This window comes from Homo sapiens, chromosome 5, assembly GCF_000001405.40.
Source record: "Homo sapiens chromosome 5, GRCh38.p14 Primary Assembly".
NCBI classification, from domain to species: Eukaryota; Metazoa; Chordata; class Mammalia; order Primates; family Hominidae; genus Homo; species Homo sapiens.
Genome location: NC_000005.10, coordinates 174,687,768 through 174,715,298, shown reverse-complemented (window position 1 = coordinate 174,715,298; position 27,531 = coordinate 174,687,768). Strand labels below are relative to the sequence as shown.

The following is a 27,531-nucleotide window of genomic DNA, read 5'->3' as shown; positions in this document are numbered from 1 at the left end:
AAGTAATACTGTGACATAAATTTCACTTTACAAATTATTTTTTAGTGTTAAAATGAGAACTTAAGTTAAACATTAATTAAATAATAGCACTGTTGGTACTGGGATAAAGCCAACAATCATGATTGTTCTTAGGAACAATTGTGTAGGTGGATGCCTGAAATTGGGGTTAACACTGATTTACAGGAGAGAACACTGCATTTCCAACAGCACAAAATCTGGATGGAATCCTGCCCCACCTCCTTCCAGCTGGGTGGCCTTGGGCAAGTTACTTTCCCTCTCTGAATCTTGGATCCCTTATCTGTACTATGAGGGTTGTGATCATTCTGACCTCCCAGGTTTGCAGGAAGAATTTACTGTGGAGATAATAGAGGACCACATTATTATTATGAAGACAGAGATAATAGAGGCCTCCACATTTTCCTGGATGTTTGGAGTTGTTAGTATCATTAGTAAACAGTGAATAGGTGAATTTGGTCAAAACACAAACTTATTTACTCTGAACCTGGTTATCTACTAGCTGAGTAGTAATTGCAAAAGAGGGGAAGAATTCTTTGAAATCCTAGTTCTGTTTAAACATCACTGTATCCTTTGTTTCACTGGTTCATCTTTAGTGCCTGGATATGGAAACTGCCATTTCCCTAGCAGGCATTTTTACAGTATCCATAGAACATCTATACCGTGTGGTCAAAATTAAGATACACCCAAGTTGCAGGCCAGGTACGGTGGCTCCCGCCTGTAATCCCAGCACTTTGGGAGGCCAAGGCGGCAGTACCACATGAGGCCAGGACTTCATTGAGACCAGCCTGATCAACACAGTGAGACCTCTTCTCTACAAAAAATAAAACAATTAGACAGGCACGGTGGCAAGCGCCTGCGATCCCAGGACTTTGGGGCTGAGGTGAAAGGATCACTTGAGCCCAGGAGTTTGAAGCTACAGTGAGCTATCATTGCACCACTGCCCTCCAGCCTGGGCAACAGAGTGAGACCTTGTCTCTAAAACAAAAACAAAAACACCCCCCCCACTCAATTTTGAACAAAGGCTGGTTGCAGTGGTTCATACCTGTAATCCCAGCACTTTGGGAAGCCGAGGTGGGTGGATCACTTGAGGCCAGGAGTTCAAGACCAGCCTGGGCAACATGGCGAAAACCCATCTTTACAAAAAATACAAAAACTAGCCGGGCGTGGTGGTGTGCGCCCGTAGTCCCAGTGACTCGAGAGGCTGAGGCACGAAAATTGCTTGAACCCCGGAGGCGAAGGCTGCAGTGAGCCTAGATAGTGCCACTGCACTACGGCCTAGGTGAGAGAGTGAGACTCTGTCTCTAAAACAAACAAACAAGAGAACAAAAACAATCTGTAAGTTGCAAACAAGATGGAAAAAGGTTTTCACTTGTCCTTTTCGTAAATGATTAAACGCATTGCCTGGTGTGCCCTTTTATCCCTTTCTTTCATCCTTCTGGCTGTTTCCCGTGTTTCTTCCCTTCTTCCTTAAGTATGTGTGTGCTGGGTTGTGCTAAATCTGGAATGCAAAGACTACCCAGACAGGTTCTTGCCTTCAACAGTCTCCCACTCCAGTGGGAACACAGATCTACCAAATACCCAGTTACCCAATACTGATGAAGCCAGACATATCTCACAGAATTTCTTTCTTTCACTCTCACTGTGTTGGCCTGAAGACAGTTTATTGAACACTTCAATAAGTTGCCAACAGTTAAAAATCAGGGGGCTTCCCATAGAAATCTGGAATCCTGGGGGCTGGGCGCAGTGGCTCACGCCTGTAATTCCAACACTTTGGGAGGCCGAGGCGGGCGAATCACAAGGTCAGGAGTTCGAGACCAGCCTGACCAACATGGTGAAACTCTGTCTCTACTAAAAATAAAAAAATTAGCCAGGTGTGGTGGTGTGCACCTGTAATCCCAGCTACTCTGGAGGCTGAGGCAGGAGAATCGCTTAAACCCAGGGGGTGGAGGTTGCAGTGAGCCGAGATTGCACCACTGCACTCTAGCCTGAGTGACAGAGCGAGGCTTCGTCTCAAAAAAAAAAAAAAAAAGAAAGAAAGAAAGAAAGAAATCTGGAATCCTGGCTTCTCTGCATCAGTCCAAAGGAGGGTGGCCCTGGGCCGTCCAGGGCAGTTTCTCTAGGTGGAACCTGCAGACTCTAGTCGCCACCAGCCAGGCGTTTGAAAGTGCAGCCCCTGTAGCAGGTACAGTGGAATGTGGTACCAGAGGGTACAGGGCATATAGGAGCGCAGAGGGGGACTGACGGACCCTTGGAGGCAGGAAAAGGCTGTTTGGAGGAGGTGGCATTTGGGGTGAACTTTGAAAGAATTTGGCAGGTTGAGAAAGAGGAGGTGGTTTCTGGCAAAGGGGGCAGGATGTAAGAAAGCGTGAGAATTGAAATGACCTGGTCTGTGTATTTGGGTGCTAATACAGATGTGGGGAGTCGGGGCACAAGCAGTCGGGGAGAAGGACAGGTGGAGCGGGGAGCCGGGACTTGGAAAGCTGCGGCGAGACAGTGAAGGGTTTTTTTTCTTTCTTCCTTCCCTCCCGCTCCCTTCCCTTCTCTGCTGTTTACTTTTCTTCTTTCTTTTCTTTTTTCTATCATCTTATCTTAAATGACTCTTAGAATTTCAAAAGCAATAGGTTTCCACTATGACCAGCGAAACAAATCAAAGACATGAAAGCAATTAATAATCTCCCTTATCTTCTCTTCATTCTGCCATCCAAATCAACTAGTATTAACAATCTTGAGGCTGGGCACGGTGGCTCACGCCTGTAATCCCAGCACTTTGGGAGGCCGAGGCAGGTGGATCACGAGGTCAGGAGTTCGAGACCAGCTTGACCAAGATGGTGAAACCCTGTCTCCACTAAAAATATAAAAATTATCTGGGCATGGTGGCACATGCCTGTAGTCCCAGCTACTTGGGAGGCTGAGGCAGGAGAATCGCTTGAACCTGGGAGGCGGAGGTTGCAGTGAGCGGAGATCATGCTATTGCACTCCAGCCTGGGCAACAAGAGCGAAACTCCGTCTAAAAAAAAAAAATCTTGACTGGGTGCAGTCACTCATGCCCGTAATCTCACCGCTTTGGGAGGCTGAGGCAGGGGATCACTTGAGTTCAGGAGTTTGAGACCAGCCTGGGCAAGAGAGGGAGACCCTTGTCTCTACAAAAAAAAAAAATTTTTTTAAAATTAGCCAGATGTCTGTAGTCTCCGCTACCAGGGAGGCTGAGGTGGGAGGATCACTTGAGCCCAGGAGTTTGAGGTTACAGTGAGCTATGGTTGTGCCATTGCACTCCAGCCTGGGCAACACAGTGAGACCCTGTCTTGAAAAAAAAAAAAACAGTCTCATGTGTATCCTTAGATGCTAGTATCTATATACAAACACAAAAATAGCAGATACAAATTCAGAAAGGTGGAAATTGATGGTGCCTTTGTGTGCTTGTGTACCTGCATGTGTGATATGCAGCTATCTACCTATGCAACTTGCTTTCTTGTTTAACTCATATCCTAGACGTTTCATCATGTCAATCAATAACCCAATCCATTCTTTTTATATTCCATAGTAGTGGCATATTATAATGCGTTTAACCATTTTCTAATTGATGGATATTATTATATTTTTTATCCAAATTGTTACTGCTACCAACAATTCTTGAGAGAAAACTTTGCAAATGTTCATAGTTACACTCTTTTATTTATTTATTGAGATGGAGTTTCGCTCTTGTCCCCCAGGCTGGAGTGGAATGGCACGATCTCAGCTCACTGCAACCTCTGCCTCCTGGATTCAAGTGATTCTCCTACCTCAGCCTCACAAGTAGCCGGGATTACAGGTGCATGCCACCACGCCCGGCTAATTTTTTTGTATTTTTAGTAGAAACGGGGTTTCACCATGTTGGCCAGGCTGGTCTCAAACTCCTGACCTCAGGTGATCCACCCGCCTTGGCCCCACAAAGTGCTGGGATTACAGGCTTGAGCCACCGCGCCCCGCCACACTTTTATTTTTAAAGGTTTAATTTCCAAAATTGAGATGCTGGAGCCAGGTGTGTGTATTTTTAACCTGAATGGGCACTGCTGGATGACTTCCTAAAAACCCTGCTCTAGGGCACATGCCCACTTGCAGTGTTCAGCTCCCCCTTTCTCTGCCAGCACTGGAGATCATTGCTCTGTTTTAACTTCTGCCATGGATGGTTTTGAGCAGGGGAGTAATAGAATTCTATGACATACCTCTTTAAGAAACTATCTGGGTGGGGTGCGGTGATTCATGCCTGTAATTCCAACACTTTGGGAGGCCAAGGCGGGTGGATCATTTGAGGTCAGGAGTTCGAGACCAACCTGACCAACATGGTGAAACCCCGTCTCTACTGAAAATACAAAAAACTTAGCCGGGCGTGGTGGCGGGTACCTGTAGTCCCAGCTACTCAGGAGGCTGAGGCAGGAGAATCGTTTGAACCCGGGAGGCAGAAGTTGCCCTGAGCCGAGATGTGCCACTGCACTCCAGCCTGGGCAAAAGAGTGACACTCTCAAAAAAAAAAAAAAAAAAAAAGAAAAGAAAAGAAACTATCCGGGGAAGCATTATGCAAAATACTGAAAGCAATATGACCAGGCAGGAGGTTGCTGCAAAGTTTCTGGGATTGCTGAAGAGTCTGGAAGAAAGGAGTGGCATTGGAAATGGAGAGTCAGGGAGGAAACCGAGAGTGAACTCTGGAAGACGTAGAGATGCTACCTAACACATCCCGGATTAGGGGGACGCTGCGCTGGCACTGCAGGTCTGCATGGTAAACTGATGGGCAGTGGTCTCTCTTCATGCTGTCTTCATGCTATACTCATGCTATTCCCATGCCACCCAAACGTTCTGTCCTCAGAGTTCTTTTTTTTTTTTTTTTTGAAACAGGGTCTCGCTCTGTTGCCCAGGCTGGAGTGCAGTGGCACAATCTCAGCTCACTGTAACCTCCCCCTCCTGGGTTCAAGCAATCCTCCTGCCTCAGCCTCCTGAGTAGCTGGGATTACAGGTGTGCGCCACCACACCCCACTAATTTTTGTATTTTTAGTAGAGATAGGGTTTCACCATGTTGGCCAGGCTGGTCTCGAACTCCTGTCCTCAAGTGATCCGCCCGTCTTGGCCTCCGAAAGTGCTGAGATTACAGGCATGAGCCACCATGCTCAGCTCAGAGTTCCATTTCAGTAGCCGCATACACCTAAGTCCTGGGCCGAGGCAGCAGGCGACTTAGAACAGAAGAGCAGTGTTGCTCCATCCACTCCCGGTCTGGGTGAGTGGGCGGGGCAGAGAGGGCAGACAGATGTACCACTGTGCAGGGCAAGCCTTGGATACAGCCTTGCCAATGGAATCCCAAGGGACTTCACAAGGCAACTGGATAATTAACTGTGTTGTTTCATCTAATCCTCACTGATTTGCTTTCTAACCGATACAGCATTTGGCAATGGATGTGTTAGAAGCAGCAGCAGTAACGGAATTCCCAAGGCTTGAATTCCTAGAAAAGGGCCAGGTAGGACAGGCTGCTGATACTGAGTTTGGAATTCCTATTAATGCTCATGGGAGCCCTTGAGAGTTTCTTTCCAGCTCCCTTTGCCCTCTACCTTTTGCTCTATTGCCCTTTCTTTAATCTTCTGGCTCTATCCTTCTCCTCAACCAGTAGAGGAGACTTATTTCCCCACAGGCCCCTGTAATTTCTTCGAGCTCTTAGAAAGTCCTGAAGCCCAGGATTGGGATCATTTTGTTCTGAAGGATTTCTCCAGACTCTGTGGGAAGCTGAGGCAGCTGTTTAGGGCCTGGGGAGAACCAGAGATTGCCATCAGTACAGGACAACCTGTCCAGCCAGCATGTTTGCTCAGCCCTTAAATGGTCCAAGAGAATATGGTAAGTTTCCTTGACAATGGATCCATCCGACTTCGTAATTAGCCCCATTCTCAATGGAGCAGAATACGGGCAGCTCAGACCCAGTCACTAACATTTCTACTCTTGGCATGAGCTCAGAACTGATTCTTGAGCAGTCACATGGATCTCCAAGCTCATGGACATCAAATAGAAGAATTTAGCAATAGCAGTGCTGGGCATTAAAATGTGAGAGGTGGAATGGAAATTACCCATTCTGACTTTGACAATAGGTCCTCAAGTCAAAAATACCCAGGTCTTTTCTTCAAAGAAGCAGACCACATTTGCTAGCTTATTAGTTCTGATCTGGACGTCGCTGCCATAGGAAGACCACAGGCTTCAGAGTCAGACAGAAATGTGGGGCTGTGTGGCCTTGGGTAAGTCGCTGACCCTCTCTGATCCTCATTTTCCTTGTCTTTAGAAGGGGAGGTAATCACACCGAGCTTGAAGAACTGTTGGGAGTATTCGTGATAAACTACAGCAAGCATTTGCCTGTTTAGGCACAAAATAGGCATTTTAATAAATGGCAGCGGAGGTTTTTGAAAACCGTTGACTGAAATGACTAACAGAGACCAGCTGACTATTTGAGGAGGAGGAGGAGGCGGGGTGATGGGAATTGTTGCCCGGCTCCCACCCTATTCCATTTCTGAGGCCGGCTATCGGTTACCCAGGCGATGCCGCACAATGCAACCTGAGTGCCGGCTAGAACTGTGCGCAGCTGCCGAGGCTCCTGCGCTTCTGTGCGGGGCTCAGGATGAAGCCAACTTGGCCATGTGTTGACACCAGCAATAAGTCAGCTCTTGCCACTGGCAGAGGTTGCCGGGGCCAGAGACTAAACTCCCACGGTGAGAGGGAGCTCAAAACCAGTTGGTATCATATTAAAAATAAATAAATCAATAATAAATGAATTTTTTCAAGAAATGGTAATTTATTTCAATTTAAATACAGCAGCAGCAACGACAACAACAAAACCTAGAAAAAACAAAAGCAGGTTGGTGTCTAGGGGAGGGGACTTCCTCGGCATGGTTTATAAACATAGTAAAAAATAAATAAATGAAGGAAAAAAAAAGAGAGAGAGAGAGAAGCAGCCTAGAGCGTCTTTTGGGCTCACTTCCTCCGTTTCTCATGGAGCATGTTTCCCATTACAAGGGGAAGTGCAGGCCACACATGGGCAGAAAGAAAATATGCAGACGAGAAAGTAATTGAGGGTGTTGGGGTCGTGGGATAAATCTGTGAGTTCGTTTTCAAAATCTTCTTGAGTGCTCCGTTACTTTTACTATTAAAGGCGTTTTAAAAGTCAACTCTAAGTCGGATTCGGCTGGAACGAACCTATTCTGTTGTCATGATTTCCCATAGAATGTGTCTTCCCATTTACTCCAGGAAAGGACTGAGGTCATTTTCGTTGCCCTGCCTCCATTTTTCTACGATTCATCTCCTATCCATCCTGCATGATCGGGTTTGGTCAGAACCCGGGCACTGATTTCAGAGGGGGTTCCCTTGCTGGCCAGGTGTAGCACATATGGAGGAAGAAGGGTGGAGAGACAGCGTGCCACCAACCCGCACATAGCCTTGGTTTTCTCTTTGCTACTGACAGGTGAGGAAACTGAGGCTCGGAGGGAACAAGCTCTTTGCTCGGGCTTAGTCAGCTATTGTCAGGGTGAAGTAGGATCCGAACTTCGGTTTTCTGAATTTAAGTCGAGGTCTGTTTCCAGCACCACAATGGCAGCCAAAAATAATTCCCTTTCTTGGAAAATGCCTCCTTCTGGAGTCTCCTAGGCAGTATGGGGAGCAAGACAGCGATATTTATACCCTTGTCTCGAGCATGAAACTGGGAGGCCCTCTAAAGTTTGCAAAGGGGGCCAACGTATACAAATATCTGTTTCTCCCAATCTCCCTCACACTCTCTTATCACCCAAGCGTTTCACTGTGAAGAAAACCCAAGCGTCATAAAAAGTAATCGGGATAGAAAACAAATCAAGATCTGGTTTGTGAAGGGAAGCCAACATTCCTCATTACCAACAACACTGCTTCTTTGGATAAATATTTACACAATCCAATTCTTCCTTTTCTCCCTCCTTCTTTGACAAGAATGTTCCTCCGTCTCGGCAGCTACCGTGGCCCTGCTGGAACAGACGACGTTCAATGTTTCCATCATAAGGCATGTTTTCTGGGGTTTATTACTCAGCTGTAAAAATGTGCTCTAGGCAAAAACTTGGCATATTAAGTCTCATCTCAGAGGTAATTGGTGGAGGGTTTTTAAAAAACCTTATTTTTCCCTTTTTACAGACAATCTTGGAAAGAGAAACAAAAAGGTCAAGAATTTACTGCTGGAAACTATAGGGTTTGCCCCCATGGGTTTTCCTCTCTAGTTTGGTTTGTTCTGCATTATTTTTGGTTTCCTCTAACCAGATATTTGGAGGCCAAGTTATAGAGGCTATAATCCCAGACATTCATTTATTCTTTCTTCAACAAATATTTACCGAGTGCCTACTGAGCACCGGCCACACGGTTCTAGGATCTGAAGGTACAATGGCAGGCAGAAATACCGGTGTGGTCTAGAGTCTTATGAGGCTGAAGCGTGCACACAATCACACACAAACCCCACATGTTAACAGACAAAGTAAAACTTAACTTTGCAGTAAGCCCAAGGACAAGTGCCCCCAAGGAAAGGAGCAGGGATCTATGTGAGAGAATAACAGAGGGAAGATTCATAAATTAGATTGTGGCGGGTTTCAGGGACAGTGCTCTGGAGAAGTCACCCATCCCCTATCGGTAAGCACTGGCAAGGGGAAGAGTGCGTGTGTGTTGGGAAGGGAAGAGAATCATTCCAGATTTAAGGACTGGTAGAGACCCTCAGTTGGGATAGGGCGTGATGTGTTTGAGACAGTGAAAGAGAGAGAGTGTGTTTGAAGCTAACCCAGCAAGGAAGAGTGACAGGAGAGTGGCAGGGCCAGAAGGCCAGGATGCCATGGGCCACAGTCAGGAGTTGAGGTTTTATTCTAAATTGGAGGGAGACATGAATTTAATGTTTCAGGTGGAGAGAGAGAAAATCTGATTTACATTTGTATTTTTTTAACTTTCTATTTTTTTCTGAGATGGGGTCTCACTCTGTTGCCCAAGCTGGAGTGCAGTGGTGTCATCACAGCTCACTGCAGGCTCAACCTTTTGGGCTCAGATGATCCTCCCATCTCAGCCTCCTAGTAGCTGGGACTGCAGCTGCACACCATCACGCCCAGCTAATTTTTTTTTTTTTAATATTTTTTTGTAGAGATGGAGTCTCATCACCTTGCCCAGGCTGGTCTCAAACTCCCAGGCTCGAGTGATCCTCCCCATCTTGGCCTCTCAAAGTACTGGGATTACAGGCATCGGTTATCATGCCGGGCCATGACTTACATTTTTAAATGACCTCTTTGTCTGCTGTATGAGATGGGATTGGGTATGTGTGGAGAGAGGCAGGGAGGGTGGCAAGAGTGGATTCAGAGAGACTGTGTGAAAAAATAGGCTGATGCCACAGTTCTGGCAAAAGAGGATGGTGGCTCGGAAGAAGATGGCGATTCTGCAGGTGGAGCGAAGCGGAATAAGAACTATTTTGAAGATGAAACCAGTTCCAACTCCTTCTCCACAAGACTGCCATGGTGATTCATTACACATACAAATCTGATTGTGTCATTCGTCTGCTCAAATCCCTTCAATGGCTCCCCAGTGCTGTTAGTGTAACCCCTAAATTTCTTGCCTTGGCTGCCAGGCCAGCCTCCTTCTTCCCTGGAGGACCTTGCCCTCCTCTGCACCTTACCATCTGTGCCCTGGGTATCTTGGCCTTCTCTTGTCTCTCAGAATGCACCTTGCTGCTTCTCTCCACAGGGCCTTTGTACATGTTTGCTTTCCTCTCTTGGAAACTTGTTGTTATCCCTCCCAGAGCCCCAAGGATGAATGGCTGTCACCAGAAAGGAAGCCACTCGGATTTTTCCTCTGGACTCTATGTGTTCTTCCTTAGGTGTAGCCAGCCCTGGCATAAGGATGCCAAGCCTAGGTGTACAGTGAGGAGGTGTGCAGGCCTGCCTACCTCTTTCTGATGTTGATCGTAGTCCCCTCTCCCATAGCTGGGCTCTAAATGTGCTCACTTCAGTTGTTAAAGTGAAAAGTTGGGCACAGTGGCTAACACCTGTAATCCCAGGACTTTGGAAGGCTGAGGTAGGGGGATTGCTTTGAGGCCAGGAGTTCTAGACCAGCCTTGGCAATATAGTGAGACCCCATCTGTATATAAAACATAAAAGAAAATGAAAAAGAAAAGTTGGATCAGGCTTTAATGTGCCCAAGTAAACAGATCAATGCACTGTAGTTTAGCCATCAAAGGCATGCAATGGGCTGGGCACGGTGGCTCACGCCTGTAATCCCAGCACTTTGGGAGGCCAAGGTGGGTGGATCACGAGGTCAGGGGATCGAGACCATCCTGGCTAACATGGTGAAACCCCATCTCTACTAAAAATACAAAAAAAAAAAAATTAGCCGGGCATGGTGGGGGCGTCTGTAGTCCCAGCTACTTGTGAGGCTGAAGCAGGAGAATGGCGTGAACCCGGGAGGCAGAGCTTGCAGTGAGCCGAGATCACACCACTGCACTCGAGCCTGGGCAACAGAGTGAGACTCCATCTCAAAAAAAAAAAAAAAAAAAAAAAGGCATGCTATGATTGGCAAGCCCTCTGTAGTCCTCCTCATTCTCTAAACTCATGCTCTGTGCCATCAGCTGGCCAGGCCAGGCTCAGAGAAAGGAGCTAAGGCTTGACTGAGGACATGCTCAGGGACTGTGCTTCACCCACCTTATCTTGTCTAATTGTCTATCTTGTCACAACAAGTCTGCCAGGGAGACAGGGCAGGTAAGGACACTGGGGCTCACAGAGGTGAAGCAACTCACCTAAGGTCATCAGGTAGTAAGCAGTGGAGCAGGGTTCAGTCCCAGGTCTGCTGGAAGGCCACCTATTTACCAGGCCTGCACACCTCCTCACTGTACACCTACGCTTGGCATCCTTATGCCAGGGCTGGCTACACCTAAGGAGGAACACATAGAGTCCAGAGGAAAAATCCGAGTGGCTTTCCTTTCTGGTGACAGCCTTTTGTCCTTGGAAGAACCTGGGTCCTTTCTTCCTTCAGACCTTCAATCTCACCTTCTCTCCTTTTTTTTTTTTTTTAGATGGAGTCTTGCTCCTATCGCATAGGCTGGAGTGCAGTGGCACGATCTTGGCTCACTGTAACCTCCACCTCCCAGGTTCAAGCGATTCTCCTTCCTCAGCCTCCTGTGTAGCTGGGATTATAGGCGTGTGCCACCACACCCAGCTAATTTGTGTGTGTGTGTGTGTGTGTGTGTTTTTAGTAGAGACAGGATTTTGCCATATTGGCCAGGCTGGTCTCAAACTCCTGACCTCAGGTGATCCACCTGCCTCAGCCTCCCAAAGTGCTAGGATTACAGATGTGAGCCACCACACCCAGCCTCTCACCTTCTCTTGAACTGATAGGGAGGTGGTACCTCACAAGTTGGATGCTTGGCTTCCCCACCAGAACCCAACTTAAAACCCAGTAATTCAACAGTAAAGCAAGAAGAACCAGAATTTTATTTGCCTCTGTGGTTCCCATTTTCCAGGTGGCAATGTTAAGGCAAAGTAAGGTCAAGGTTAGCTCCAGTCTAACTCAACTCCTCTCAGCCAGGGCCCTGGAAGCCTTTAAGTGCAGACACCCAGACCCTGCACAGTTCTTCCTTGGCTGGTGCTTGTCAGAGCAGGCAGGGCCAGCAAGGCCATTTCAACCTTGCTGTCACACAGATCTAGAACAAAGCATGGAGACTTAGGCCTGGGGACTCAGTGCCCCTGGATCGCAATCTTATGTCTACTCCCTTGAGCCCCAGGACCTCCTCCTCTGTATTCAACCCCCCAGATCCCTAGCTTGGATGCAAGCCCTTCCTGAGAGCCCCCAGACCTCTGCTGGATCTTGCTGCCCTCAGGTCTTGTTCCTCCAGCCCCACCATGATCTGCAGGGAGCTGGACTGCAGCCTCATCTCTCCCTAGGAGCACTGCTTCCTGTGGTATATGTGTGACTGATTCTCACACATCTGCAGGGACAGACCTGCTCCCAACCCCAACCCAAGACCATCAAATCAGAGTTGTATGGGTTGGGTTCATGAATCTATTTTTTTTTTGAGACAGAGTCTTACTCTGTCACCCAGATGGGAGTACAGTGACACAATCATGGCTCACTGTAGCCTCAAACTCCTGGCTCGAGTGATCTGCCTCCCTCAGCCTCCAGAGTAACTGGGACTGTAGGAATGTGCTACCATGTCCAGCTAATTAAAAAAATATATTTGGCCAGGTGCTGTGGCTCACGCCTGTAATCCTAGCACTTTGGGAGGCGGAGGCGGGTGGATCACCTGAGGTCAGGAGTTCGAGACCAGCCTGGCCAACATGGCAAAACCCCGTCTCTACTAAAAATACAAAAATTAGCCAGATGTGGTGGCACATGCCTGTAATCCCAGCTACTTGGGAGGCCGAGCCAAGAGAATCACTTGAGCCTGGGAGGTGGAGGGTCGAGGTTGCAGTGAGCCGAGATCATACCACTGTACTCCAGCCTGTGCAATGGGAGTGAGACTCCATCTCAAAAAAAAAAAAATCTATCTATCTATCTATCTATCTATCTATCTATCTATCTATCTATCATCTATCTATAGATATATATAAATATACACACACACACTTTGTAGATAGTCTGGGCAACGTAGTGAGACCTCGATTCTACAAAAAAATCTAAAAATTATCCAGGTGTGGTGGTGAACACCTGTAGTCCCAGCTACAGGAGGCTGAGGTGGGAGAATTGCTTCTGAGTCCAGGAATTTGAGGCTGCAGTGAGCCATGGTTGTGCCACTGCACCCCAGCTTGGGTGACAGAGCAAAACCTTTTCTCTAAAAAACATAAAAATAAAATAATGAAATAAAATAATTTTTTTTGTGGAGATGGGGTCTCATTATGTTGTCCAGGTTGGTTTTAAACTCCTGGCCTCAAGTGATCCTCTTTTCTCAGCCTCCCAAAATGTTGGAATTATAAATATGAACCACCGTGGCTTCCAAATCTGTTTTTAAGAGCTTCCCGGGGCATCTGAAACAAGATGCAGAGCTAGGGGCCATCATAGAAAAGAATGAGAACTTTCTTATATATAAATGAAAAAATCATTACGAAAAACAATTAGTTAAAACACAAACCATAAAACTGCAAAGACAATTTGTAACATAAATGCCAGAGGGATTTTTTTTTTGCTTTTTTTGCTTTACAAAAGATTGAAATAAATACAAGAACAATTTGATACGAAAATTGGAAAAGGATGTAATTCAGCAGTTTGCAGAAATCAAAATAATAAGAATCAAAGTATACAAAAGAATGTTTAATCATTTTATGATTAAAGAAATCTAAGACCTGTGCAGTGTCTCACACCTGTAATCCCAGCACTTTGGGAGGCCGAAGCGCCCGTATCTGAGCCCAGGAATTCAAGACCAGCATGGGCAATGTGGCAAAACCTCATTTCTAAAAAAAAAAAAAAAAAGAAAGTACAAAAATTAGCCGGGCATGGTAGCACACACCTGTGTTCCCAGCTACTTGGGATGCTGAGGTGAGAGGATCACTTGAGCCTGGGAGGTTGAGGTTGTAGTCAGCTGTAATTGCACCACTGCACTCCAGCCTGGGTGACAGAGTGAGACCCTGTCTCATGAAAGAAAGAGAGAGACAGAGAGGGGGTGGGGAGAGAGAGAGAGAGAGAGAGAGAGAGAAAGAAAGAAAAGAAAGAAAGAAGAAAGAAAGAAAGAAAGAAGAAAGAAAGAAAGAAAGAAAGAAAGAAAGAAAGAAAGAAAGAAAGAAAAAAGAAAAAGAAAGAAAGGAAACAAAATTACGCTTCTGTTTTTTCCCTAACATATTGTTTGTAATGATTAAGCATTGCAGAGGGCATTGAGTAGTTACTTTCTTACTCTTCTGATATGAGTTCAAATGGGCGAATAGACATCAGTTAGGCAATATCTGTCAAAATGTAAAATGCACATGCTGGCTGGGCAAGGTGGCTCACACCTGTAATCCCAGCACTTTGGGAGGCCGAGGCGGATGGATCATCTGAGGTCGGGAGTTCGAGACCAGCCTGACCAACCTGGAGAAACCCCATCTCTACTAAAAATACAAAATCAGCCAGGCGTGGTGGCGCATGCCTATAATCCCAGCTATTCGGGAGGCTGAGGCAGGAGAATCTCTTGAACCCTGGAGGCGGAGGTTGCGGTGAGCCAAGATTTCGCCATTGCACTTCAGCCTGGGCAACAAGAGCAAAATTCCGTCTCAACAACAACAACAAGAAAAAAAAATGCACATGCTGTTTGACCTAGCAGTTCCCCTGGTCAACATTTATTCACCTGAAGGATCTACTCACAAGAGAATGGAAAGGTTATACACCCAAGGACATTCACAGCAGCATATTTTTGATAACAAAAAGTGTAAATGACATAAGTGTCCATTAGTCAGGATGCATTAAGTAACCGAAGATCCAGCTATAGAAAGGAATACCAGAAATCAGTGAAAAAGGTAAGGGGCAGGAAGTGATCCCTGTGATAAATAAAAAAAATACTTATGCAACAAGAATGTATTGAGTGACTCTTAGGTATTTGGTACCCCTCTAGTTACTCAGGATCAAGAAGTGAATCACAGTCTGGGCACGGTGGCTCACACCTGTAATCCCAGCACTTTGTGGGACTGAGGCGGGCAGATCACAAGGTCAGGAGATGGAGACCATCCTGGCTAACATGGTGAAACCCCGTCTCTACTAAAAATACAAAAAATTAGCCGGGTGTGGTGGTGGGCGCCTGTAGTCCCAGCTACTCGAGGCAGGAGAATCACTTAAACCCGGGAGGCACAGGTAGCAGTGAGCTGAGATCACACCACTGCACTCTAGCCTGGGTGACAGAGCGAGACTGCATCTCAAAAAGCAACCAAAATAAAACGGTTTGTGTTTTGACTAATTTTTTTACATTCCCTTATGGGAATGTAAGTGTGTGATGCACACAGACCAAGTCCATGGAACTGATTGGCCACTAGAGGAGACTAGGTAATAAATAAGTAGACAATACACTTCCTGTGTTAAGTAGTGGTAAGTGCTATGAAGAAAGTAGAAATTAGAACAGTGTAAGGTGAAGGCCAGCTGGGGAGGTAACTCTAAAACAGGATGGTTCAAGAAGGTCTCTCTGATGAGGTGACATTTGAGCAGAAACCTGAAAAAACTGAGGGAGTGAGCCAAGATGCCACATCTGTGGGAAGAGTGTCCCAGGCAGATGGAAAGGCAAGTGCAAAGGCTCTCAGCAGAACTGGCTGGATTTGTTGAAGAAATACCTCTAAGGTCAGGTAGCTGGAAAGCTGTAAGTGATGGGGATGGTGGGAGGGGATGAGAGCAGAGAGCCTGGACCAGATCAGAGGCAAAGAAATGTTGGAGAGAGGGCCAGGCGCGGTGGCTCATGCCTGTAATCCCAGCACTTTGGGAGGTCAAGGTGGGTGGATCACCCGAGGTCAGGAGTTCAAGACCACCCTGGCCAACATGGCGAAACCCCATCGCTACTAAAAATACAAAAATTAGCTGGGCCTGGTGGCCTGCGCCTGTAAACTGGCTACTCGGGAGGCTGAGGCAGGAGGATTGTTTGAATCCAGGAGGCAGAGGTTGCAGTGAGCTGAGATTATATCGCTGCACTCCAGCATGGACCACAGAGCGAGACTCCATCTCAAAAAAAAAAAAAAAAAGATGGAGGGAGAACAAACCTGTTTTCTGGAACAATAAATAGGAAGCTTTCAATAATTTACATGTAGTGAGATGGGTTCTAGCATAGGGGTGAAAGAGGCCTATTTTTCACTTCTTTATACTTTGCTGCTGTGTTTGCATTTCCTTGCTACATAGAGGTACTGTCATTACTTATGGTTATACTAATGTAAAAGATGTTATCAGGGTAGAGGGATTATGGGCATATTTTGTTTGCATTAGACAAACAAATGAAACTGCCTCTTGGTGTGATTTCCATGCACAGCTGGCGTTGGGAACCACAGACCCCAAGGCATCCTGACCAGACCCTCCCAGGCTCATGGCAAAGCTGAACTGGGCTATGCCCTGTCGTGAGGCACTCAACCCACTCTCCTGGGTTTTCAAACATTCCTGGGAACGTAAGTGTGTGGAAATGTAACAATTCCAAGAATAACCTTGAATCCATTCAGTGACTTTGGGAGTTTATCACTAATGTGAGTAACAAACTCCTCGCTGGATCGCCCCGGGCCCAGTACAGGCAGGGGCTCAGGGAAGCTCTGCCTTGGATTGCATGGAACTGGCTTTCCCACTGGCCCATCAGGTCCTGCCTGCGGTAAGCAATGGGCAGGCCCGGTCTTGAGGGTCAGAAGCCCTCTGGCTTGGTCTTCCAGCCTTAATTTCTAGCCTGGACTATCAGCCCATCTTGGAGCCTCGGCTTGCTTCACAATTGCAGCCCTGAGTTAAGACAAGTAAGGGTGCATCTGGAACTACATTTGTTGCTTTGTTTCCTACATCTCCCAACTTCTACAAACATAACCAAGGAGGCCTCGGTTGAGGCCTCTTGTACGTGTCTCAGATCAACTCAGACCCGAGTGATAGGACTCATCTGCTGGGAGCGTGGAGCTGAGCTTTTCCAGAAAAATGGCATCTTTCTTATCACCAAAAATGATGCCTGCATTTAGATCCTAGAGCCATTTGGAGATCCCCACCTAGAGAGGCCAGCAGAGGCCTTGGCCACCAGCAGAAGCCCCGGCCACCAGCAGAAGCCCCAGAGAGCAAGACCTACTCTGGAATCTGTGTGCATTCCCCACCTGCTTCAAGGGAGGATCTCCAAGCACATTATACATATTAATTTAAAAACGTAGCATCCCGAGGGGCTGGTGTAATTATCACCGTTCAACTGATAGGAAAGGGAAGGTTTGCTGGGCTTGGTGAGGAGAAGGCCACAGACAGCTGAACAAAGGCCTGTGGGAGGCAGTAACAAGCAGCTACCGCTGGGGCTGATCTGGGCTGCACCGGCGCTGAGCCTTTAGCATGCATTGTGAGTAGCATTATTATCTACATTTTGCAGACGGCAGAAACCAAGATCCAGAGTTTCTGGACTAGAAAGTGATATGGCTGGGTACAGTGGCTCATGCCTATAATCCCAGCACTTTGAGAGGTTGAGGCGGGCAGATCACTTGAGGTCAGGAGTTCCAGACCAACCTGGCCAGCATGGTGAAAAACCATCTCTACTAAAAAAATACAAAAATTACCTGGGCGTGGTGGCAGGCACCTGTAATCCCAGCTACTCCGGAGGGTGAAGCAGGAGAATCGCTTGAACCTGGGGGGCAGAGGTTGCAGTGAGCTGAGACTGTACCACTGCATTCCAGCCTGGGTGACAGAGTGAGACTCTGTTACAAAAAAAAAAAAAAAAAGAAAAGAAAAGAAAAGGAAAGAAAGAAAGAGAGAGATAGAGCAGGGACTTGAACCCAGGTATTTGGGATTCCAAGTCCCACGGTATTTCCACCGCCCCTGTGCTGTACCTCGGTAATTATTCTTTATAGCTGCATAGTACTTTATAGTTTACAAAGCATTTAAACATGCATTATCTTATTCATTCCTCACAATAACTCAGCTAGGGAAGGAAGGGCAGATGTTTAAATTAAATAAAATTAGCTCCATTTTATAGATGATAAAATGGAGGCTCAGAGAGGGGACGATAACGTGCCTAAGTTCTTATAATAGCAATAATAACTCATACCTATATAATGAATTATAGCTTACAAAATGCTTTCTGGTTTTAGACATTACAATAGCTCCAAGAGATAAGTAGTCTTGGTGCTATGATTAATGCTAGTAGTAGTATTCTTAGTATTCCTATATTACGGATGAATAAACTGAAATTCAGAAAAGTTAAGGAAGAAGATGAAAAGTAAGTATTGGTATGTCAGACACAGAGCTAGGTGCTCTGGTTATTCTATCTCACTGAATTCTTTGAAAAGCCCTCGAGAAAATATTTGCAGAGGCTTTTCATTCATTCATTCATTCACTCATTCAGTAAATGTTTGCAGAGTGCCTACTGTGGATCTGATACTGTTCTAGGCACAAGGAATACAGCAGTGAAGAAAACAAATCCGTGTCTTCACTGAGCATATATTCTTTTGGTATGGATGGAACAGACCATAAATAAACAAGTAAATATATACTATACCAGATAGCACTAAACTCAAAGAAGAAAAGTAAAGTAAGGTAAGGCAGCAGAGACAGAAGTGGGAGGCGCTGGTTTTGACTGAGTGGTCAGGGAAGGTCCCCTTGATATCGTGACATTAAGAAGAGACCTGAATAAAGTGAACAGAGAAAGGTTTAGGCTGGGTCTCAGTAAGAGCTAATATGCTTTAGTGGGAAGCAACAGAGACACACCAGTGTAATAAAAACCCTAGTTAAAGCAGCTACTGTGTCTTGAGGGTTTAAAATATGCCAGAATTTTACAGTGTACTGCTGGGCGCGGTGGCTCACGCCTGTAATCCCAGCACTTTGGGAGGCCAAGGTGGGTGGATCACTTGAGGTCAGGAGTTGGAGACCAGCCTGGCCAACATGGCAAAACCCCATCTCTACTAAAAATACAAAAATTAGCTGGGCATGATGGCACACACAACTGTAATCCCAGCTACTTTGGAGGCTGAGGCAGGAGAATCACTTGAACCCAGGGGCAGGGTGGAGGTTGCAGTGAGCTGAGATCAAGCCACTGCACCCCAGCCTGGGCAAAAGAGCAAGACTCTGTCTCAAAAAAAAAAAAAAAAAAAAAGAATTTTACAGTGTTCTTTCATTGAATCCCTACAACCGTGGAAAATGAGTGTTGGGGGAAATTGAGGCTGAAAGATTAAGTGGCCAGTTCACCATCTTACCGCGAATGAGTTGCAGATTTAAGATTTGAACCTGTCCTTGTCTGACCCCAAGGTCCCACCCCTGACCATCCCAGGTCCTCTGTGGGAAGGCCTGGAATGAAGCACACAGTGACTTTGATTGCATCCAGGCTAGAAGGAGCCACGGCAGGAGTGATGGGAAGGGCAGCTGGCCCTGTGAGCAGAACACAGCCTGAGGGGCCTGGAAGGCCGTGGTCCACTGCATGGAGAGGGAGGGGCTGGATCCAGGAGGGCTCCTGGTCCCTGGAGGGCTGGGGGAGACACTTCCTGACATTGGGAGGTGAGGGCAGGGCAGCTTCTTCTTTGGCAATCCACCTGTGAAAGAATCTCATCTAATGTAGAAGTTCTTAAACTGGGGGTCCACGGACTACTTTGGGGGCAGAGAGAGAGAATATCTGTGAGGTTCCATGGGAAAACATAACATTTTTATTTTTGTTATCCTCTAACTAAAATGTTTCATTTCCTTTCATTATGAATGTTGCCAGCAACCCACAGTAGCATGACCAGTAACTGCAATTTTACCACCAGTAGACACCATGTGTTTTCATGCCGCCTGACAGTTCTTACAGACATCTTTTTTTTTTTCTTTTGAGACAGAGTTTCACTCTTATTGCCCAGGCTGGAGTGCAATGGCACAATCTCGGCTCACTGCAACCTCTGCCTTCTGGGTTCAAGCGATTCTCCTGCCTCAGCCTCCGGAGTAGCTGGGTTTACAGGCATGTGCCACCATGCCTGGCTAATTTTGTATTTTTTTTTTTTTTTTGGAGAGATGGGGTTTCGCCATGTTGGCCAGACTGGTCTTGAACTCCCGACCTCAGATGATTCGCCCGCTTCGGCCTCCCAAAGTGCTGGGGTTACATGTGTGAGCCACTGCACCCGGCCTTTTACAGATATCTTGAAATATTGTTTCTATTTATCATTACTTCAAAATTAAGGAAGTAATTGGCTCAGCACCATATCTTGTTTTTGTTTTTGTTTTTTTGAGACAGTGGTCTCACTGTGTCGCCCAGGCTGGAGTGCAGTGTTATGATCTTGGCACACCATAACCTCTGCCTTCCAGGCTCAAGCGAGCCTCCCACCTCAGCCTCCTGAGCAGCTGGGACCACAGGTAAGTGCCACAGCACTCGGTTAATTTTTTTGTATTTTTAATAGAAACGGGGTTTAGCCATGTTGCTCGGGCTGGTCTTGAACTCCTGTGCTCAGGCAATCCACCCACCTCGGCCTTCCAAAGTGCTGGGATTACAGGGGTGAGCCACTGCGCCTGCCTTCAGATCTTGTTGATTGATACATTAACAAAGAAGTTCCTGTATTAGCTTATGGCAACATTTTGATAACTGTACTTAAATATAATCGGGCACCTTTGTTATTTGATTTCATGCATTTTTAAATATTCTGAGAAGTCCACCATTTCAGCAGACTGCCAAATAGACCCACTTCACCAAAACACTTTAGAATGCAAGAGTGAGACCCATCTGTTTCTTTTGCATCTTTTACCTTTAATTCTCTGCTCTGGTTAGCTAAGAGGCAGTAGTGACTCTGGCGTGGAGGCTCTTGCAGGCTGGGGTCTTGTCTTATGCAACTCTTTGGCTTCAGGGTTCGTGGACAGAGCTCAGGAATGTTAGTTTAATTTGAATTTGATGTCGACATTCAAAAACTAAGAGTTTGCACACATATCTGGATTTCTGGCTTCTCTAATAGAATCAGAAGCTCTGACGGCTCTAGGGTCGGCCTCTCCCCTCCCTGTGGTGCAATTTCAAGAGTCAAGTAGGGGCCGCCACTGGGGACAGAGCACCAGGGCTCTGCCAGCTCACCAGGGCTCCTCGCACCCCGCTTCAGATGTACATTCCCTGGTGACTCCCAAAGCATTCAAGTTATTGATCCTCAGGAGGGAGGGGACAGGTATGACTTCAGGATACCCCAAAGTCACGCTCCAACTCCAGGGACAGTCTGAACAGCACGTGGTGATTCCCCGAGCTGTTCTTAAGGAAAGAACTTCTGAACACAGAAGCTTTGACGAGGCCCAACTGACCTGTCAGAACGCAGGGAAGTCGGGAGCCACAGACAGCTCTGGGCTCCGTGCTCCTAGTCTTGCTTCTGGCTTCACCGCACTCCTTTACTCAAAACCTTCCGGTTGCTTCTGTTTGCACTGAGAATAAAACCCAGGCCCTGGAGAGCTTGCGGGGTGCCTGGCCCCTCACTCCCTGCCCTCTAGCCATGGGTCCTCTTTCAGCTTCTGGATGTCGAGTCTGTTCTCACCTCCTAAGTACATAGACTCATGTACTGTTGACTTTGCTTGGCTGGCCCTTTGCCAGTGCTCTCCTTCCTACCATTCAGGACAAACGTCACCTCCTGGGGTGGAGGGTTCCCTGACATCTCTCTCCAAAGTTATGCCTCTTTCTTCTACCGAGACACTTTCTCTCTTGCTACCCTGCTTTCCTCTCCTCGAAGTCCTTAACATTGTCCAAAAATCATGTTCATAAATAACTTACTCTAGGTCTCCCTCCTACAATGCATAGTTCTCGTGGGCGAGGTCCCTTTTGCCTAGACACTGCTGTTCCATAAATACCGCTGGACAAACAGGTAACCCATGGGTGGCTCTCTGCCATCCTGGCCCTGCATCTCATCTCTCTCTCTCTTTCTCTCTCTCTCCCCCCTCTCTCCATCTCTCAACCCAGGGGTCAGGGTCAGTCCCAGGGACTGGGTAAAGATGACACTTTGCTAAATTTTAAAAAGCTGATTTTTTTTTTTTTTTAAAAAAGCATTGTCAAAATATTCTCACGGCCAAACGCTGTTGCCTGCTGCTGCCTTCCCGTAGGTTATTGAAAAAAAAAATCACATAACTTTCCTGCCATTTCCTCACGCACATCACAGGGATAAATAATATTTACCTCCTGGGACTGTTTGTAGGGATGAAATGCGACAATGACTTGCCTAGGAAGTTCCCCATCAGCAGCACACAGTAGGTGCTTGAGTAAATAAACCGAACCCCTCCCCATTCCCTGCCCCAGCCCCCGACACCCCCCTTTAAGTCAGAGCTGGAAGAAAGAGCGTCAATCACGGGATAATTTATGCAGCATGATATGCCTTTATTATTCCACGCTGAGTCGGGGCTCCTACTGTCCAATGAAGGTCAAAAGGAGGTATGGCTTTTATCTCTCCAGCAACTCTGGAAACACAGGGGGGAGGGGGCAGGCTCACAGAGGCTTCCTCCTGAAAACAAACAGATCCTCGCCCCAGCCCTGAATAGCTTTCCTCAATCAAAGCTGTAAACGTCTCAAAGCAGCAGGACTTCGCCCTGAGACTTGAGGGGGCTAATAAAGCGTTGAATGGAGAGAGTGACCCCTAACTGGCAGAGGGGTCCCCGCTGGGCTCGGGGCCCGCGCCTGCTGCCTCGTGGAGAATCCAAAGGTCACGTGTCATTAGTCAGTGTCTTACAGCGACCCTTTCAAAATTATCGATAAAGGGGAAGGAGGCCCTTTCTGTTTCGAAACCCGAAACAGTTTTCTTCTTCTCTCTTTTCTTTCTTTTTTTCACTGTTGGAAGAACTACACAGCCCCATCTTTTTCTTGTTTTCTTTCAGAGGCAAAGAGAAGTGGTTTGAAATCAGGAGTTTCATGCCTTGGGAGAAATAAAGGTTGGGACCAGACTCTTTTCCTTTTGATGCAGTTTCTCTGCGAAGCCCTGGCTCTGAGAAGTTACTGGGTTTGCGTTCCCATGAAAACGCGTCTTGTTTCGTTCTTGTCCTAAAATCCTTTTTCAACAGATCCAAATTCTTCTGAGGCCCGTCTCGCCTTTCTTCTAACCTCTCCCTAGTTTGATCAAAGGCCTGGGATGTCTGTAAAGGCATGAGGAGGGCGTGGCAACTGTGAACTATCAGCAATTGCTTCCTCTCGTGTGACTCAGTTTCCTCGTCTGCACAGGAGGACACGCAGAGTCCGGGGCCCAGAGAGAAGTGACCCTAATGACCTCATTAGGCTCTGAGGAGCACTTTAAGGAGATCATCAGCCATGCACCTAATGGACAGGGTGACAATGATCTTATTTCCTTTATTATTTACTTAGCCCCAGCAGTTTACAGCTGAGGCCAGCATGTGGTTGTGGTCGCGTTAATCTTTAACCCATTAGCCACGGATTGATTCGATGACATTGCTGGGTTTATAGGTAGTCATTATATTGATCTTTATTTGCTGTACATTTTGTGAAGTAATTAAGGGCCACATCATTCCCCTTCTGAAAATGCCTATTGGGAAGACAAATCTTGATGCATTGGGGTGTGTGTGTGTGTGTGTGTGTGTGTGTGTGTGTGTGTGCGTTGTGTGCGTGTGTGTTTATTAAATTCCTCACTTTGCAGAAAAGGTAGAAATCACCTGTGGTCAAAGTTACTCTGAAAACTGCTGAAATCCTCCATGAAGTGCTGTATCTGTAGCTGTGTAAATATCACTGTATCACTTCCATGGTGAAAACGCTCATCAGCAGCAGGAACACGTTCCTATTGCTCTGGACATCAGATGAAGTACTTGCTTGGTATGATGTGAACACATGAAGTGAATTTTTTTTTATCTTTAAACACTAGGATTGTGCTTCTCAGGGCAGGATGCTCAGAGGTGCCCCACCCTATTTAAATCTCTCTTGTTAAAATAAAATGTGATTAAATCGAATGCCCTTGTCATGTGACCCCCACAGACACAGTTTTTCTTGTGCCATCTGTTAAGTGTTATGTTAACTCCAAATAAATTAATACTCCCACATCTCACTTGTCTCCTTGGAGGGGAACAGCACGTGTGTGGGGAGGAATATGCCACAGATAGCCACGTAGTTTTATAAAGCAATGACGATGACATTGAACTTCTGAAGCCACAAAACAGTGTCCCGGACTAGGAGGATGAGGGGCCTCCCTGGCATGGGCAGGCAGCTGCCTGGTAGAGAGCTCAAGGCAGGACCTCTGGGGCTGTTGCCTCTCCCTCCAACAGAGGGGTTCCTGGAGAGGAGAAGAGGGCTGTGTTATTTCTGTGGCCCTAGTCAACATCAGGCAGGATCTAGTAAAGAGCAGGTATCCATGAACGTTTGCTGGATGAGGAAACACTAAAAAGGGATCTCAGCCTGAAGTTTATAAAAGGAGAGGGTGGGCCGGGCATGCTGGCTTATGCCTATAATCCCAGCACTTTGGGAGGCCGAGGCGGGTGGATCACGAGGTCAGGAGTTTGAGACCACCCTGGCCAACATGGTGAAACCCCGTCTCTACTAAAAATACAAAAATTAGCTGGGTGTGGTGGTAGGTGCTTGTAATCCCAGCTACTTGGGAGGCTGAGGCAGGAGAATCACTTGAATCTGGGAAGCGGAGGGTGCAGTGAGCCAAAGTCACGTCATTGCACTCCAGCCTAGGTGACAGAGTGAGACTCCATCTCAAAAATAAATAAATAAAAATATAAATAAATAAATAAATAAAATAAAATAAAAGGAGAGGGTGGGGTGCTTGAGAAGGAGAGTGTCTAGGGTGTGTCTTGTTTTCTGTCCTGCGTCAGTCTGTCCCTGACAATGTGGTCATCATCTCAGATGGTCACAATAATAACATATGATACTTCAATATCTTACCTTTCTCTATTCAACTATGCTGGAAAATAAATACAATTATTCATTCATTTATTTTTATTTTCTTAAATCACAAAACAAGGGGATGAGGGTGGGCAAGGAGGAGTTGGGAGGCAGAGCTGGGAGAGCCAGGAATTAGTTGGAGAAAAAGATGGGGGGATGGAACTGTGAAGGGTCAGGTTTTTATGTGAAAGAAAGAACAGATAATGAAGCTGAGCTTATTTTGAAAACAAACAGTCCAAGGTCAAAAGCTGTGCGTTTCCAGGACTCCCTGAGCAGGATCTCACTCTTGGCTGTTTCCCAACCCACTCGGATCGCTTCCCTTCTTTCGATTCCTGCCGCTTGCCCCAGCCTGGTCTATTGCAGGAGGCTGCAGGATCCTGCAGGGCGAGGAGGCTGACCCATTCATCTCCAGTTCCTCCTGCCCCAATCAGGGCCTGGCCAGAGCAGCCAGCTGGTCACTCAGTGACTCAGTGTTTAGAGGACGACATCCCTCTAAGCTGTGACCAGGCTTTTTGCTCACAAGCATTTAGGAGCCTACCAGGTCCTCGCCCCTTTGTGTTTTCTGGTTGTCCCCAGAGAATCCCGAAAGCGAGGTGCCTACCCAAACTGTGGAGACCCAGTTTTTGTCCTACCCTTCCTGGACTTCTGCCTTGAGAAATGGAGCCCTATGGGGGACTGTCCTTCTGAGAAACAAGCCCCTGGTTTCCTGATGCCTCAGCTTCCCCACCTATAAAATGGGCTTTATGAGACTTCCTACCTCATAGAGTTGTTTTAAGGCTTAAATAATGGATACCCGAAAAGTGCTTAGAAGAGTGCCTGGCACATAATTAGTTGCTATTGTTACTATTATTGTTGTTATTGCTGATTTTAGTCTGTTTTAAATTATTGCTTTATGTTTTATTTTATTTCATTTACGATGATTTTTTTTTTTTTTTGAGATGGAGTCTCCCTCTGTCGCCCAGGCTGGAGTGCAGTGGCGCAATCTCGTCCCACTGCAACCTCTGCCTCCCAGGTTCAAGCAGTTCTCCAGCCTCAGCCTCCCAAGTAGCTGGGGTTATTTTTGTATTTTTAGTAGAGACAGGGTTTCACCATACTGGTCAGTCTGGTCTTGAACTCCTGACCTCAGGTGATCCACCCTCCTCCGCCTTCCAAAGTGCTGGGATTATAGGCATGAGCCACCACGCCCAGCCGTACGACTGCTTCTTATTTCGTTTCTTATAGATGAATATAGTTTTGCTATATTTGCTGCTGGCTTTGATTCTATGTATTATTTTTATTATTGATAATTAGCTATTACCATGATGCTTCTCAATGATTTTGTTTAAGCAGGCTAGATTATTTTCTGCCCCGTCTGAGTCTGTTTCTGACAATGTGGTCATCATGTTAGATGGTCACAATAATAACATATGATGCTTCCATAGATAAGCCTTCCCTATTCATCTCTGCTGGAGAAGTTATACAATTATTCATACATTATTTTTATTTTTTCTTAAATCACAAGGGGCATCAAAATGCAACATGTCTCCTTTGGCTCGACTTGGACTCTAAGAGAACACAGTTGCTAAGGCTGGGAGGGCAGGTTCAGAACCAAAGGAGGCTGGGGGAGCATCTGGACCCAGTAATATAGGCTCAGTGCGAGCCTCAGTGCCTGTGACTGGGGGATAACAAACAGCGCATGCTCAGCATCGAGATGGCTAGGAGCGGCTTCGGGTTCCAGCATCAGCCCTTTCATTTGCCAGCTGTGAGACTCTGGGGATATCACTTCACCTCTCTGAGCCTCAGCTTCTTCCTGTGTAAAATGTGGCTTGTCATGAGGAATAAATGGGACACTGCCGAGTCCTTAGTATCAAATGATTCACAAATGTTAGCCTCAGTTTCTTCATCAATAAAACGGACGTGGTGACCCTCCGTGCCTGGATTCCAGGAGGATTTCGGGGTATGTGGTGTGGGTAAAGTGCCCAGCATTTGGTTAGTGCTGCATACCTGTTGATTTCTTCCCATTCGTTCATCCTTGAATTCCAGAGAGCCCCTGTGAAAGGGGAAATAGAAAGCGTGTCCCTGCCCATTTCAGGGACTTACTCTTCCAGGGAGCCCTGAAATAGTAGCCCGGCCGACGGAGCAATGAAGTGAGCCGACAAATGGGTGCCTGTCCCCGCAGGAACAGAGATGACAGCACGATTCTTTTTTTAAGTTTTCCCTTGGGGACTGACATTTTATTAGCACAGAGATCAATAATGCCAGATAAGAGACCTCTGATTTTACATCTGGGGCTCCCGGAACGATGTCTGGGAGAGAAAACATGACGTTTCTTGCAGAGGCGAATCCCAGCCCGGGAGGAGGGAGGCCGCTGGGATGTGCCGCCGGCGGCTTTTGGGCTCGGTGGGAAGCAAGTTTTGGCAACGGCAATGCTAATTGATTAAATGTTCTCATCAGAGACTACGGTGCCGAGAGTGATCACATTTTTATTTCTTTCGGGAGGGTAGGGCATCCCTTCCTTTAATATCTCTATTTATCCATGTATTTTCTATCCATAAGTACAAGAAGCCCCTATAAGTTACTCCTAGACCCTGAGGCTCAGTCTTCGTTCCTCTTAAATAACAGGTTTACTACAAACGATCTTGTGCAATTGCCCTTGGTTTTCTGGGTCTGATTGGAAACAAAATTTGCAGCTGGACAGAGTGTTGGGCTTTGAAGTTGTGGCACTGAGTCCTGGCTCTGCTGTTTACTGGGTATACGGATTTGGGCAGCGCATTTGCACTCTCTGGGCCTCACTTTTCTCATCTGTAAAATAGAAAGTTAAATATATCGATATTGTAAAAAAATACACACATATATATTTTCACCTGTGCAGGAGCAGGTGAAAAAAAAAAGCAAAACCCATAAGCTTTTCTTAAAAAACAAAACAAAAAACAATAGAAACCTTTGTCAAAAGACCCTGTTAAGAAAATAAAAAGGCAGCTAGAGACTGAAAGAAAATATTCACAATGTGTACATTTGACACAGGATTTGCAATCAGAATTGAAAAAAAAAAAAAACCTCTTCAACTCAATAATAAGAAAGCAAACAACCCAGTTAACAAA

General features: G+C 46.4%; 4 annotated features.

Annotated features, from left to right (window-relative positions):
* Positions 6,109–6,609: an enhancer, noted in NCBI's record as "H3K4me1 hESC enhancer chr5:174135693-174136193 (GRCh37/hg19 assembly coordinates)". NCBI's record gives its function as "activates a minimal SCP1, AML or CMV promoter by ChIP-STARR-seq in naive H9 embryonic stem cells {active_cell/tissue: H9 hESC(naive)}" and the evidence as "EXISTENCE:reporter gene assay evidence [ECO:0000049][PMID:30033119]".
* Positions 6,610–7,110: an enhancer, noted in NCBI's record as "H3K4me1 hESC enhancer chr5:174135192-174135692 (GRCh37/hg19 assembly coordinates)". NCBI's record gives its function as "activates a minimal SCP1, AML or CMV promoter by ChIP-STARR-seq in naive H9 embryonic stem cells {active_cell/tissue: H9 hESC(naive)}" and the evidence as "EXISTENCE:reporter gene assay evidence [ECO:0000049][PMID:30033119]".
* Positions 21,763–22,263: an enhancer, noted in NCBI's record as "NANOG-H3K4me1 hESC enhancer chr5:174120039-174120539 (GRCh37/hg19 assembly coordinates)". NCBI's record gives its function as "activates a minimal SCP1, AML or CMV promoter by ChIP-STARR-seq in naive H9 embryonic stem cells {active_cell/tissue: H9 hESC(naive)}" and the evidence as "EXISTENCE:reporter gene assay evidence [ECO:0000049][PMID:30033119]".
* Positions 22,264–22,764: an enhancer, noted in NCBI's record as "NANOG-H3K4me1 hESC enhancer chr5:174119538-174120038 (GRCh37/hg19 assembly coordinates)". NCBI's record gives its function as "activates a minimal SCP1, AML or CMV promoter by ChIP-STARR-seq in naive H9 embryonic stem cells {active_cell/tissue: H9 hESC(naive)}" and the evidence as "EXISTENCE:reporter gene assay evidence [ECO:0000049][PMID:30033119]".